Genomic DNA, 13,724 nt, shown 5'->3' with positions numbered 1-13,724 from the left:
TGAGGAGTGGAATTGCTGGGTCATATGGTAACTCTATTTTTAACAATTTAAATGACTTTCAAACTCTTTCTCAAAGTGACTGTACCATTTAACAACCCCATCAGCAATGCATGAGGTGTTGCCATTCTCTTTGGATGTTCACAGCAACCTTCTAAGGTTGGTATCATTATAACCTACAACTTACAGATCAGGACACTGAGGCTCAGCAAGTAACTTGCCTGTAGTCATGCGGCTGGCAAGTGGCAAGGCTGAGACTCAAACTATGGTCTTGTGATTCCAGATGATATGCTTTTCCCTCTGTGACCTACTGCCAAGTATTAACCCTGCATCACCTATGAACAGCTGTGTTTCTTACCCTTTCACCTCTGTGCCTGCATCACCCGATGAGAAGTCTTTCTGTGTTGCAGGACGTGTCAGGAAATGCTGCATTTCTGGCCTTCACTCCTTTTGGGTTTGTTGTTCTTCAAGGAAACAAGAGGGTCCACTTCATTAAATGGTGAGCATCTTCATTTCCAAAATAGGCTCTTTATATCTCACCAACTGGGGAGGGGCGACGGTTCCCGTGTCCTTTGTCTGTGATTGGGCAGTTCTGGTTCAGAGCCCTCTCCAAAGCCTTGCGTTGATGGTGGTAACTGACGAAGGGAGTGGTCTCTTCCTAGGGATCCTTTTCTTCTAAAGGGGTGTCCCTGAGAGCCAACAGCCTCTCCAGAAAGGAAAAGGGATACAGAGGTTTGATTTCTGGGGAGGGTGAGAGGCCTGGGGCTGGAGCCAGTGTTAGCGGAGCAAAGTTCCTGTGAGAACTGAATCCTTGGGGCCGTCACCCACTGAGGGTCATAGTTAGCCCTGTTGAGCCGGCTGTTCTGGAGCATCTCTGTGGATGGCTTAGTGCCCTTACCTGCTCTACTAACAAGGGAGGGGCTCACAGACAGTGACCTCTGGGGCAGATATAAGTCCTTTGCTACTTTGGCAAAACACCCTCCTCAGACCAGCCCTCCCTGTGGGCATCGTGTCTGCAAAAGCTCAGTTGCTGCTGTCTCACTCCTATCCCTCTTGGGCATTTAAGTGTCCTCAGCTTCCAGGAGTCATATTCCCACTCTTTCTTCCTTCCCTCCCTTCTCCACTCCCATCTAACAGGCAAGAGCCACTGCCTCAGCTGCAGCTACTCTGAGCTGCTTCCTCTCCTGCCCCTCTCTGTTTTATTTGGGGTCTGTTCTGCTGCATGCCTCTGGGCAGACTCTGGTTTGTTGATTGACATTTGGCTTTCCTGGAGACCCTTTAGCTGGCCAGCCCATACAAACATCTGTCAGCGTCATCAAAACATTTTGCATATTCTACTAAGCTCTTGTGATTTCTGTACCTTCCTGGGCCTCAGACTGCCAAGTCTAAGCTGGCCAGCTCCTTCTAGGGGCTTAGATAAGTGGCTTCCCTTGGTCCAGCAGAGCTCAGTGGGGGGAAGTCTGTTTGGTTTGTCTTCTCCAGGAGAGCTCATGAGGAATCTTGAGTACAGTTGCTTCCTAGTCAGCGTTCTGCTGGGGACACTGCAGACCATCTATCCCGCTGTGCCCTCTTCAGCTCCCCCACTGAGTTTGAGCTTGAGGACAGATACCGCCTTTCCAGCCCACCTTGATTTTGTGAAGGAGGGCATTACGATCGTCAGCCAGAGTGCTGGTGAAACTGCTCCTCACACAGGACAGGAAACTCGACTCCCCAGGACAACAGCCGTGCCACAAGGCAGCTGCTGCCCTGGAGTTACCAGAATACACCCCAACATACCTGTTTCCTAGGCATCCTCAAGTCGGCCCACTTCACTGTGCTCTCTGGGTGAAGATGTGAGGATTTGCAATCTCCTGTCCAACAAAATGCTTTTCAGAAAAAGGCAATGAGCAGGATCAGGCCTCAGCCCTCCTAGTGTGGGGTCTCTGCTGCCTGGATACATCTGGGCTATTTGATATTCTTTAGAGGGCCCAGATCCACATTCCAACCAGAGTAGCTGTTGGGTGAGGTCCCTGTTAGAGGGAATGTTTGGCTAGAAACAAGTAGGACACACCTGTCACAGACACCTGCAGTCCCTAAATTATACCCACCCTTCCAGAAACCATGATGGCTCTTGGTTCTCACAGACACTTTTCTTTCCACGGCTTCTCTCATGCACCACTTCTTCTAGAAGTCTCCTCTTCACCATGTGTCAACTCTGTAATAATAGATGTAAACCCAATCTCACTCTCAAAATAAAACTCCTTACTTTCCTAGCTTGCTTGTTGGAACCTAGGTGATCTGTGTGCTTGTCTATATATTAACCAATTGGCATTATTGTACTGTGTGTGTATGAGATTGATGGTTGATTGAGAGGGAGTTTGAGAGGGAATCAAACAGGGAAGGAATACCGTGTGACTTGTGTTAGCTCAGAACTGGTGGTCAGAAGTTGTGAAATCTCATCCTGACCCAGCCATGATTTTCAGGAGCATGGAGAACAAGTGATTTTCCTCTGTCCCCTGAACTTTTTCCAGCAGTAAGTTGGGTACATGATTCTCGCTACCTTTCTACTATTTCCTAGGAGATGAAGGAAATCTCCTTAGAAATTACAAAAAAAAGCAGCAGCCAAGTGGAGGTGAATGTGCATGACAAGACCGCCTTGGGGGTCCCAGTTGGGTTGAAAAATGGGGCCTCCAGTGACATGGAGAGGGCTGAGAGACTCCAGAGGGCAGCTATGTTGGGCAGATAGAAGGGAAGTGAGGAGCAACCAGTGCTGAGGCCTAGTTCCATGGCTCTCAGGGACATTCACCTAAGACCCAGTAGTTTTTCCGTTTTGCAAATGTAACCAAGGCTGAGAGCAGGAGGTGGATGTGGAGGTGAGGTCTAGGCCGTGCCATGTACAGTAACCATGTCACTTCTTCTGATTTGTGTCTGTCCCACGGGTGATGTACCCCAGTATCCTGTTTGCCTCTTTTACTGCAGCCATTCACTGGGCTGGTGGCTTCAAGGATTTTTCTACAATAACCCCTAAGCCCCTTTCCTGGTCAGTACGCTGCATGACTGTTCCATGTAATCTGTTCTCTCTCTTTGGTATGTTGCCCTGCCCCGCTCCCTGAGATTGTTTGATATTTGTCTGCATTAAACTGCATTTTCCATCCAGTGGCACAGTCACCTGAAAGACTCAACTCCCTCAGAACCTGGTTGCATTGTTTCTCATTATTTGCTGTATCTTGAACTTTGGCCTCATCAGCTACCTGTGGCATCTTACGTTTGACAGTCCCATCCAGATAATGCACCTGTGTTATGAACCCAATCCTGAAATGACCCCAGATACTCTACCTAGACTCACTTTCCATGCAAATGTTTCCCTTTTACAGCCACTGTTGATAAGCCCGAAATCCTCCTGTCACCCTATTACTATAGTGTGATTGACCAGAAAACTGTGGATTGAACTGTTTCAACAACATTCTCTAAGGCCACTGCGCTGCTGTCTTGTTTCAGTTCTGATTTTGGCTAAAATTGTGTCTGTGCCTGGAGCCCCTTCCAGTTGGGGTGGGCTGTGCATCTACAAGATTTAGCTGTGAACAAGCAGCCCACAATGAGGTGACAGGCACTATCTTTGTGCTTCTAGGAATGAGGTGACCAAGCTGAAATTTGAAGGAAAGACTTTCTATTTATACGTAAGTCAGAAAGAGGTGAGTGCTGGCTTCCTTCTCTTCAAGGAGGGCTGGGGTGATGGGATGCTTCCTGGTGGCCAGAGCCAAGCTTGAGGGACCCCAGTAGAGCCAAGCTACCCACATACTAAGCCAAGACCAAGGTCAGGACCTGGAGGTACAATATGAAGGAGCGGGAAGGCCCTGGAGCACAGGACTTCCTCAGGGATGCTATTGACACCCAGAGCTTCCACTCAAGAGATCTTTACCTCCAGGAAATGCAAAGGAAGGCTCTTTTTCTTTCGTGTATATGGGAATTCCAGAGGCAAGGGCAACTTTCTCACCAAGAGCTCTCCTGGTTCAATTTGTGCCACTTTTGTGCCAGCTGAGACTTACCCTGATTGGACTTGCCAAGTATGATGTGATGCACTTAACTGAGCTCTGCCTCAGTGGGTCCCACAGGCCCTCCCCTCTAACTAGCCAGCTGCCAGGGCCTCTAACAGCTCTGGGGTCAGGGTCCTCGCCTACTTCACCCTTTGCTTCTCCATCCACACTCAGCCATATCAATGTGGAATTTTTTGCAGGAAAAGAAAATTATTCTTACATATTTTGCTCCAACTCCTGAAGCGTGTAAGCACCTCTGGAAATGTGGAATCGAGAACCAAGCCTTCTACAAGTGAGTGGATACATGTGATGGGGACTGTCTTTCTTAGAGCCAGAGTCAGAGAGAGTCGGTGACAGGAGGCCAAGTGCCCAGGAACTTGGGGCGGGGTAGCTGGAAGTGGGCAAGAGCTTGACAGTTACTGAGAAGCCAGGTTGAGGCCAAAGGCAAGAGCTTTGCCTACCAAAGGGATTTTGTAAAGAATGTGGGGCTTTTGTGTTGTTTTCTTCGGTTAAGAAAGTGGTTATAAAAGCATTAGGTAGTGAAGAAATGGCCCACTGAGGGCATGATGCCAGGTAAAATATGTCTCACTAAGCCCTTTGGTCTTGTTTTAAAAATATACCGTAATGATTTATGCTTTACTAAGATGTATCTGAATGAGGTCAAGGCAAGACAGAGTGTGGTATATTCTACCTGGGGTGAGCCCTGCTCTCACCAAATGCCCCTGATTGGCCAGGTCCCAGTTCCAGTAACCTGAAGGATCCTGGAGAGATGAGAACTGCTCTGGGATGAGTGGCACCATACTTCTCTCCAGGGAAGATTCTGCTGCCTGCTGGCTGCTATGGGATGCTGGCTGGCAGAACTGGGTCCTCCCAGTTGCCAGGGCCACAGCCCCAGAAGCTGTTTCTTAGACAGGCATTCTGAATTACTTAATTCCCATTATGTGTTTATACCAGAACCAAGGATTCACTGAATCGGCAGCCTTTCTTCTCCTGAATATACTCGGGAGACTTTGGCATGGTCACACTTCCCTCCTGTTCAGTCCCTACTGTCCATAGAAAGTCAAGAAAACATTTATTTTCTTTTGCTACCACCCTCCCTTTGCCTGTGAGGATGTAATCCAGGTTTGGCCAGTTACCTGAACCTAGAGAGAAGCAACTTGAGATGCAAGCTCCTGCCTGTGGGACTGAGGAGCAGCCCAAGAACTGGGGTCCCACGGGTCTCCGCAGCAGAGAGAGGAAGGCACTAGCCGACAGGGGCCTGCTCCACACTGAACTATCCCTGCCCTGGGAATGGCATATGTGGAAGCTTTCCCTTTCTCTCTACCAAAGGGTAGAGAAGAAGCAAACAGAAGCAATCTCCTTGCCTCTTGTCTTTTCATGCCTTCAGCAGCATTTCTTAAGGGCTTGGTTTTCCCATCTGTGTCACGGAAACAGAAGTGTTGCTTCTGAACCTGTGACCTCACTCAGTTTCTGAGTCTTCCCACGAGTAGATCTCCCTACCCACCCAGCCCTGCCTGCACCCACACTGGAAATGGAGGTCATTTTTCAGTTTTCCATTGCCTCCTTAATGTTCTCATCAAACGGTAAAAGCCTGGGTGAGATCCCCAGGTATGTCAAGTCTCTGGCAGCAGCGCTTTGGCCTTGCCCTCAGTGTCTCTCACATACAGATCCCTAGTCCTGCCTTTGGCCTAGTGCCATGGCAGGAGCCCAGTCAGATGCAAGAACATGCCCAGGCTCCAGTAAGCAGCTCGGATGTCCTGGAGCCCTGAGACGGGCAGGGATGGTGTCTCCCAAGAACTGTTCATGGATTGTGGAAACAGCTCCTACTCACTGCTCATAGCACAGGTTTCAGACTCACATAGGTTACTGGTTGGATCAGTACCATAGGCACCTGGGCATGTTACAGGTGGATCCCATCTTAGGAGGCTTCTCTCTGAGCTGCTGTGCCCAAGCTGAGAGAGCTAATGGGCTCAGTGAAGTCACCCAGGAGAAAGTATTACAGAGCTCCACATCGGCTGTCTGCAGCTTCAAACGAGATATAAAATAGATATCCTGGGGGAGGGAGAAAGGCTCCAAATTCAAATACATGACGGACTTTTATTAAAGTTAAGCTAGTTTCTTCATCGCAGGATTTCTGTCTTTACTGTGGTCATGTATTTTAGGACCCTCCAAAAGGGAGATGGAACAGGAAAGACAGCCCCCACCCTCTTCTCCACCCACAATTACCCAGACATAGACACAAAATCAAATACTGGGACTGGAAAGGAGACCCCTAAGGTCCAGTAGTCCCAGCTCTATCATTTTATAAAAAGGGTGAGGCTAAGAGAGAAGGAAATTTGCCCGAGGTCACACTGCTAATAAGTGACGTGGCTGAGATTAGATGGGCATTCTATTATTCCCCAAGACCATCCACCCGAGCATGTATTCTCTCAGTCCCCCTGGTAAAACCTATGAAGCATTTTGGGGGAGCCTTCACTCTCCTGACACTAAAATGGGTTTCCATGTTGACAGTCCTGGGCACTGAGGCAGGAGAGCAGCTGGCTGTGAGCACAGCCCCCAGATCCTAAATGAGAGTCAGAGACAAATGTGGACTATGAAGGGCTTTTTTCCTGAAGTTTCAAGTAGCCTTTGGAAGAAGCTGGGGATGTGCTGCCTTAACCTGTGTGAGGCAGTTCAGGCTGTCTATCACACTGGACTTTGCCTTGCTACAGGCTGGAGAAGTCAAGCCAAGTCCGCACAGTGTCCAGCAGCAATTTATTCTTTAAAGGGAGCCGGTTCCGATACAGGTAAATAGTGACAGTAAGTAACCATTATGGATCTATTTTCAGACCCTTCTCTGGAGAACTCAGTGGTCCTTATCCTTTAGAACAGAGAAACCAGGGAGGACTCAGAAAAGTCTGAGGTCTCCATCTAATTCTCCCATCTTATGACCCTTTTACTATTTCCTTCCTTCCCTACAGCAATTTGTCTGTAGGGTTTTAAATGTATATTGGCCGGCCATAGTGGCTCATGCCTATAATCCCAGCACTCTGGGAGGCTGAGGCAGGTGGATCACTTGAGGCCAGGAGTTTGAAATCAGCCTGGGCAACATGATGAAACCCCATCTCTACTAAAAATACAAAAAAAATTATCTGGGTGTGGTGGCACACACCTGTAGTCCCAGCTACTTGGGAGGCTGAGGTGGGAGAATTGCTTAAGCTCAGGAGGTCGAGGCTGCAGTGAGCCATGATTGCACCACTGCACTCCAGCCCAGGAGACAGAGCAAGACCCTGTCTCCAAGAAAATGAAAAATAAATATGTATCTTCTCTTTCCCTTACAATAGCAAAATAAGAACTATAACAGTGATTCATGTCTCACTGTCTAAAGGTTGTTCTTATGTGTTTTTTTGTGATGTAATTGGAACATGCTGGAAAATGAGGAATTACTCCTAAATGAGAATGGAAGATCCTAAAGACTCTAGAGATGGAGAGAGTTCTCTCAGATAGGCTGTCATGACAGTTTAGAAGTCTACCCCACCAAGCAAGCCTTTCTCCATGACCAAAACATCAGGGAAAGGGTGGGCCACAGATGCCATTTCCTGATTCAGGGAAAGCACCTAAGATCTTGGAGAGGAGCTGTCCTACAACACAGTCTCATTTCTTGCTGCTTGTTTTTATTACACTACTTACAGTGGCCGAGTTGCAAAGGAAGTCATGGAATCAAGTGCTAAGATCAAACGGGAGCCACCGGAAATACACAGGTAGGCTGCCAGGGGCTTCCCCCCAAACAGTTGTAGCTCAGATCCCAGAATCTCAATCCAGCAGTTTGAGTACTGTGAAGCCCCTGGCTCCAGTGGCTACCAAAAAGTCCAAAATGGAGCAGAAGGCTGAAGAAACTTCTCAGAGGGATGGGGAGAAGTCTTTGACCCTTAATAAGAGAGCTGGGGAGGGAGGAAGGGCTACTGCAGATAGTACATCAGATCCAGGTGCCACTTCACTTGGCAATTCTCTTCTGCCCTCCCTAGTCTTGACACTGATCATAGATGTGTCACACAATTTCAGTGGTTCTGGAACCAGTCGATCATATGAAGCCAAGGATAGTCCCACAGCCCTGCCACACTGGCTCTAAAATAATTTCAGGATCCATGCTTCATGTAGATCCACAAATTGTGTTTCCAGAAGCCTATCTCCTAGAATCTAAGACCCAGAAAGAATATGACTGACCAAGAAGGGTAGGATTTGCCAACCAGCCTTTGCCTCTGGGAAGGGGAGCATTACTGCCTGCCCCTTCACATGGAGCCCTGTCATCAGCAGCCTCTATTGGAAGTCAGGGGAGGCTGCCAGTATTGGTCCAGGCATATTTTCAGGAGTACTGCTCATCCTGGGGCTCTACTCTCTGACAGTCTTGCCCCCACCCCAGAGACCAGTGGCACTGCTGCCACACTAAAAAAAAGGTTCAGATGAGTCTAGGGTTACAAAGAGGTGGAGGAGTTTGAAGCACTATCTCTGACTGGAATCCAGAGACCAAAGGCAAAGAGAAGGTATTAAAGATTTTAAAAAAGAGAGAGACCAAGACTTAATATAGCCAGGCAATTCTAGTAGCCAGTACTCAATTCTTAAGTGCCTACCAAATGTGTCCATGCACTGAATTAACAAGGTTCTTTTTCTTTAACCTCAGAGCAGGGATGGTTCCCAGCCGGAGCTGTCCCTCCATAACCCATGGCCCAAGGCTGAGCAGCGTCCCCAGGACCCGCAGAAGAGCTGTTCACATCTCCATCATGGAAGGTGAGCATGAGCTTCTTGAGGTGACCACTGGGGTCCTCCAAGTTGTGATCTGGGACCTTGAAAAGAGGCTAATTTGCATTAGTGATGGCAGCATGTCTCTTGGGGAAAAGGGCCTCCAGTGGCAAGTAGGAGGTTTTATCCAGTGGATGGGAATATTAGCTGGGTACAGGGTAAAGGGGTGTGGGTATCTAAGCAGGAGGGTTGTGGATTTGAGGGTGCTGGGTTAGCCCTTTGGGGGACTTGCATATGTGGGATCTATAGGTTCCATGCAGTTCTGAAATTGCTTTCCATCAAGAGGATTTTCACGCCCTGTGCGGTGGCTCACACCTGTAATCTCAATACTTTGGGAGGCCTAGATGGGTGGATCACTTGAGGTCAGGAGTTCAAGACCAGCCCGGCCAAAATGGTGAAACCCTGTCTCTACTAAAAATACAAAAACTAGCTGGGCGTGGTGGCACATGACTAATCCCAGCTACTCGGGGGGCTGAGGTAGGAGACTCGCTTGAGCCTGGGATGCAGAGGTTGCAGTGAGCTGAGTTCGTGCCACTGCTCTCCAGCCTGGGTAAAGGAGACTGTCCAAAAAAAAAAAAGAATTTTTTAAAAAAAGGGGCTGGCGCAGTGGCTCACGCCTGTAATCCCAACACTTTGGGAGGTTCAATTCAGGTCTCAGGAGTTTGAGAGCAGCCTGGCCAACATGGTGAAACCCCTTCTCTACCAAAAATACAAAAAATTAGCAGGGCATGGTCGTGGGAGCCTGTAATCCCAGCTACTAGGGAGGCTGAGGTGGGAGAACTGCTTGAACCCGGAAGGCAGAGGTGGAGGCTGCAGTGAGCCCAGATTGCACCACTGCACTCCAGCCTGGGTGACAGAGACTCTGTCTCAAGAAAAAAAAGAGGATTCCACTTGTTTGCTAAATCTGACCAATCTCCACAGTAAAATTATCAGGATGGCTGAGACTGTTAACCAAGAATTTTCACTTCTTGGTTCCGAAGCATTTCTAGTAGCTGCCACCATGTTTTGCTTCAGCTATAGAAATCTGTCCCGTTGGCTGGGCAGTGGCTCACGCCTGTAGTCCCAGCACTCTGGGAGGCTGAGGTGGGTGGATCACCTAAGGTCAGTAGTTTGAGACCAGCCTGGCCAACATGGTGAAACCCCGTCTCTACTAAAAATACAAAAATTAACCAGGTGTGGTGATGCACGCCTGTAATCCCAGCTACTTGGGGGGTTGAGGCAAGAGGATTGCTTGAACCCAGGAGGCGGAGGTTGCAGTGAGCTGAGATCGTGCCACTGCACTCCAGCCTGGGCAACAGAGTAAGACTCCATCTCAAAAAAAAAAGAAAGAAATTTGTCCTGTTGCTATCTGCATATCTTACCACTGTCTCAGGAAATTCAATACGACCCATCTCCCTCCAGACTCCCTTCCTTTGGAGCAGGCCGAGGTGGGAAGAGAGAGAAATTCTACGTATCTCCACTGAACTAGATACCCCAATAGCTGAGGCCAACAATCTATTCTCTGGGTAGTTAATGCTGTTAGGAGGCGCTCTTGGAATACTGCCCTCTAGCTGCTGTCACTGGCCCAGGTCACCCGCAGGCTGGATACAGGTGTAAAGTTGAGTGCTTTCATTCCCGAAGATGGTGTTTTTTTAGGACCTCAGAAATCTCACACAGCGGGAAACAGCAGAATTGGTTCATACCTGTCTCTCTCCTGGGATTAATGGTGTGGAAGCTGGCAGGACAGCCCTTTGTCCTTTCTGTAAGAATGCTGCTTGGGAATGAAAATGAATTGCTCACGTTAGGAAGGCTATCACTCTGCTGTTTCCCTGAGATCTAATTTGTGTTTAGGATTTTAGGATGTGTCACTGTGAGTGTGAGATTCCATGTTACCAAAGTCTAGTATGTAACTCCCTATGGTCTAGAGGTTGAGAACCCCGGCTAGACAAACACCATCAAGTTACTTGAGTATCTTCATTGCTCCATTTGTAAAATAGGGACATCTTCCTTGCCCACCCCATTGGTTGCAAGGAAGCTAATATGTGCGGAAGTACTTGAAAGAGACTAAAGCGTTTACAGGCCGGCAGCAAGCACAGTGCAGAGTTCTGATCAGGAAGCCAAGGTCTGACTAGGAGCTCTGCCATGCACTTTCTGTAACAGGTTGTTTTATCTCTGAGCCTAGTTCCCCCACTGCAGAACAGAGCTGGGTGTGGGAGAGTGCCTGTGGACTACCAAGTAGAATTGTTATGCAAAGAATGGAATTATGGATATATGACCATCATGAGACACAGCCTCCTGGTGTTTCCTCCCATCTTAGGCTGACCCGGAGAACTGAGCTTGGCTCTCACTGTCCCTTGGCTCTCTCCGTCCCTCTTTTGGGGTGTACATCTCAGGAAGTAGAATGAAATTCTCTGAGGAAACATAACTTTCTCCCCTCTGTGGCCTTTCTTTCCATCCCTCTGAGGCTGAAGCTAGAGGGTCCATCCCCATCCTCCACAGAGAGCTGGGACAGCTGTCCTCCCAAACAAAAGGCTCACCCTAGGGAAGCTAGCACCATGCAGGATGTAAAACAGGAGAGGAGCCTTGTGCATGCCTACTTCCCAGAACAGGGAAGAATGTCCAGGAAACCAGCATTCCCAAAAGAGGGAGGGCTGAGGCTCTCTGTGTAGAGACAAAACTCACTGAGAGTTGCTGCCAAGTAGGGTTAGTAGAACAACTCAGAGGCGGGGAAAACAGTCCTTGTGATCCTGAGACATGCTGAGGCTGAGTCAGGTCCCCATTCAGCTCTGGCTTTACCTCCAGCCTCCTCCTCCCATTGCAGCAGCAGGTTCCTTGTCCAAACTATTCCCCCTTGCTGCCAAATGCAAAGAGACGTACAGTGGGGAGAGGCTGCTGAGGAGTATAGGCCCCCTAGGGCCAGGGCACTTCCTCAAAACCAGCCTCATAGAATGGCACACTTGGTAGGTTACAGCTCAGCAGACTTCCAGGTGCTTCTCACACCCTGTGCCCAAGGCTGCAAGTGGCCCTGGTCATGGCCCCCAGCCCAGGACCCATTAGATGCAGGACAGCGCAGGTAAAACTGACCTGGCCCAAATGAACCTCACAGGCTCAGGGTGAGGAGAGGGAGATGGACATCAGGTTTGGATGTGGAAATAAATAAAAGATTGTAGCAATTAAATGGCTTTATCAGTACAGGGGCTACCAAGCCTGTGGAAGTAAAGAATGGGTTAGTTTCCAGGAGGCGAGAGTTCAGGTGCAACGTCTTTCAAGAGGAGGGCTTGCCTTTAAAGGTCCTGACAGGCACTGCTGACCCTAACTAACTGCCCACCCCAACCAGGGAGGGAGGGGCTGCGAGGGATGCGATGAGGGCCTCAGAAGAAGGGCGCAACCAACAAAAACCCCAAGGAATTTAGAGGCATTTAAATTGGTTCATGCTCCACCAAAGACTTTCTTTTCTATAGTCCATTTGGCCCATTTAGTATCACAGAGACTACCTCCTCCCACTTCAGAGCCACCCAGCCCCAAAGCTAGGCTGACCATGCAACTTGGCTGGCACCAGGGCAGGCCTGGACTATATATGGCCTGGATAAAGGCCAATGGCCTTGTCACTTTACATCCTGGATTTTCTGGGACGGTCTTGATTCCCCTTACCCTCTGGGATTGTTCTCTGCCCCCTCTGTCCCTTGCCCTCTGAGAGGTTGGAGCCCTTATCCAGGCCTCAGGGAAAGAGCTGCAGGCCAAGGAAGCATTACTTTTTATGGCTCTAAGTGCTTCTGACTAAATCCAGTCCCCTGATAACGGTGGCCTCTCAGAGCTGCTCCTTCCCTGCAGTTCAGCCTGATGTGAAGCTTGGGGAGGTGACCTTCTCCCTGCAACACGCGAGGCACTGCCAAGGGGCTGCTATGATGTGGGATCTGCAGAAATCCTTTGTTCCTAGTTGGCTTTCCATCTTTGCCTCTCTGTATCTCTCCCTGCCTGGCTGGTTTCTCTGAAGAGATCAGCTGGTTTCCACTGAAGAAGTATTTGCCTTCCTGGGCCACCATGGGGAAGAGTCTGATTAAGATTCACACCAGAGTCCGGGTCCAGCTCCGGCTGACTAATCACTGCTTTCGGCCCCTAAGTGTGCGCATCCTGAGGATGGGGCCCCGGCTCCAGGGTAGGGTCCTGACTGCTGTGACCCCCGGGCAAGGGAATCAGCTGGAGCATTTCCAAGGTAAAAAAGGCTCTCCTGTTTTGCTGTGCCAGTTAGCGCAGATCCTTCCCACGGCACCCATCCCATCTATCCCAAAATAACAGGTTCGATGAAATGGCAGGACAGGTGGTGGCTTTTACAGCAGTGAAAACAGTTTCTAATATAGGACTAACCTGATGTGGGAGGGTCACCTTACAGGTGAGATCTTCTGTTAAGGGAGGAGACCAACTGATATTTACTGAGCAACTGTATTTGTCAGGCATTCTACTAGAAATGCACATCTAATTGGATGTGGTGGCTCATGCCTGTAATCCCAGCACTTTGGGAGGCTGAGATGGGCAGATCACTTGAGGTCAGGAGCTCAGACCAGCCTGGCCAACATGGCGAAACCCCATCTCTACTAAAAATACAAAAATTAGCCGGGCATGGTGGTGGGCGCCTGTAATCCCAGCTACTCGCAGGGCTGAGGTGGGAGAATCACTTGAACCCGGGGGTCGGAGGCTGCAGTGAGCCGAGATTGCACCATTGCACTCCAGCCTGGGCAATGAGATGGAGTGAGATTCCATCTCAAAAAAAAAAAAAAAAAAGAAAAGAAAAAAAAAAAGAAATGCCTATCTATCCATTATCTTGTTTAATGAGAGCACCAACAGCTCCCAGTATGATGTGGCTCCAGGTGGTCCTCTGACATTTTCCTCTTCTGATGTCACAGCATCTGCCTCTCCTTCCCCACAAGCTGAGGGGTGTAATCGTAGGTTAAGCTAAGCTTT

The 13,724-nt window shown here is 49.1% G+C and overlaps 1 protein-coding gene across 12 annotated transcripts in view, besides 2 other annotated features; it reads left to right on the top strand.

The window, feature by feature from the left end:
• Positions 1-13,724, top strand: part of FRMD5 (FERM domain containing 5) — a 328,710-nt gene that overhangs the window by 306,997 nt on the left and 7,989 nt on the right. For 9 of the 12 annotated variants that reach the window (XR_931927.4, XM_047433194.1, NM_001322951.2 and 6 more), the window contains 6 exons: positions 408-496; positions 3,605-3,668; positions 4,211-4,302; positions 6,722-6,796; positions 7,682-7,750; positions 8,668-8,774. Coding sequence is in view for 10 of the 12 variants with exons in the window: in XM_047433194.1 (XP_047289150.1) it covers positions 408-496; positions 3,605-3,668; positions 4,211-4,302; positions 6,722-6,796; positions 7,682-7,750; positions 8,668-8,774 (496 nt within the window). In the remaining 2 variants the exon portion in view is untranslated. Of the gene's footprint in view, positions 1-407; positions 497-3,604; positions 3,669-4,210; positions 4,303-6,721; positions 6,810-7,681; positions 7,751-8,667; positions 8,775-13,724 lie in introns of all 12 variants that reach the window. The other 3 variants (NR_104455.2, NM_001286490.2, NM_001286491.2) reach the window with 3 other exon arrangements.
• Positions 10,784-13,428: an enhancer, noted in NCBI's record as "VISTA enhancer hs1881". NCBI's record gives its function as "enhancer in: heart[6/14]" and the evidence as "EXISTENCE:transgenic organism evidence [ECO:0001131][PMID:17130149]".
• Positions 11,047-11,737: an enhancer, noted in NCBI's record as "H3K27ac-H3K4me1 hESC enhancer chr15:44172938-44173628 (GRCh37/hg19 assembly coordinates)". NCBI's record gives its function as "activates a minimal SCP1, AML or CMV promoter by ChIP-STARR-seq in primed H9 embryonic stem cells {active_cell/tissue: H9 hESC(primed)}" and the evidence as "EXISTENCE:reporter gene assay evidence [ECO:0000049][PMID:30033119]".

This window comes from Homo sapiens, chromosome 15 (genome assembly GCF_000001405.40).
Source record: "Homo sapiens chromosome 15, GRCh38.p14 Primary Assembly".
Classification (NCBI taxonomy): domain Eukaryota; kingdom Metazoa; phylum Chordata; class Mammalia; order Primates; family Hominidae; genus Homo; species Homo sapiens.
This window is presented reverse-complemented; position numbering and strand designations above follow the sequence as displayed.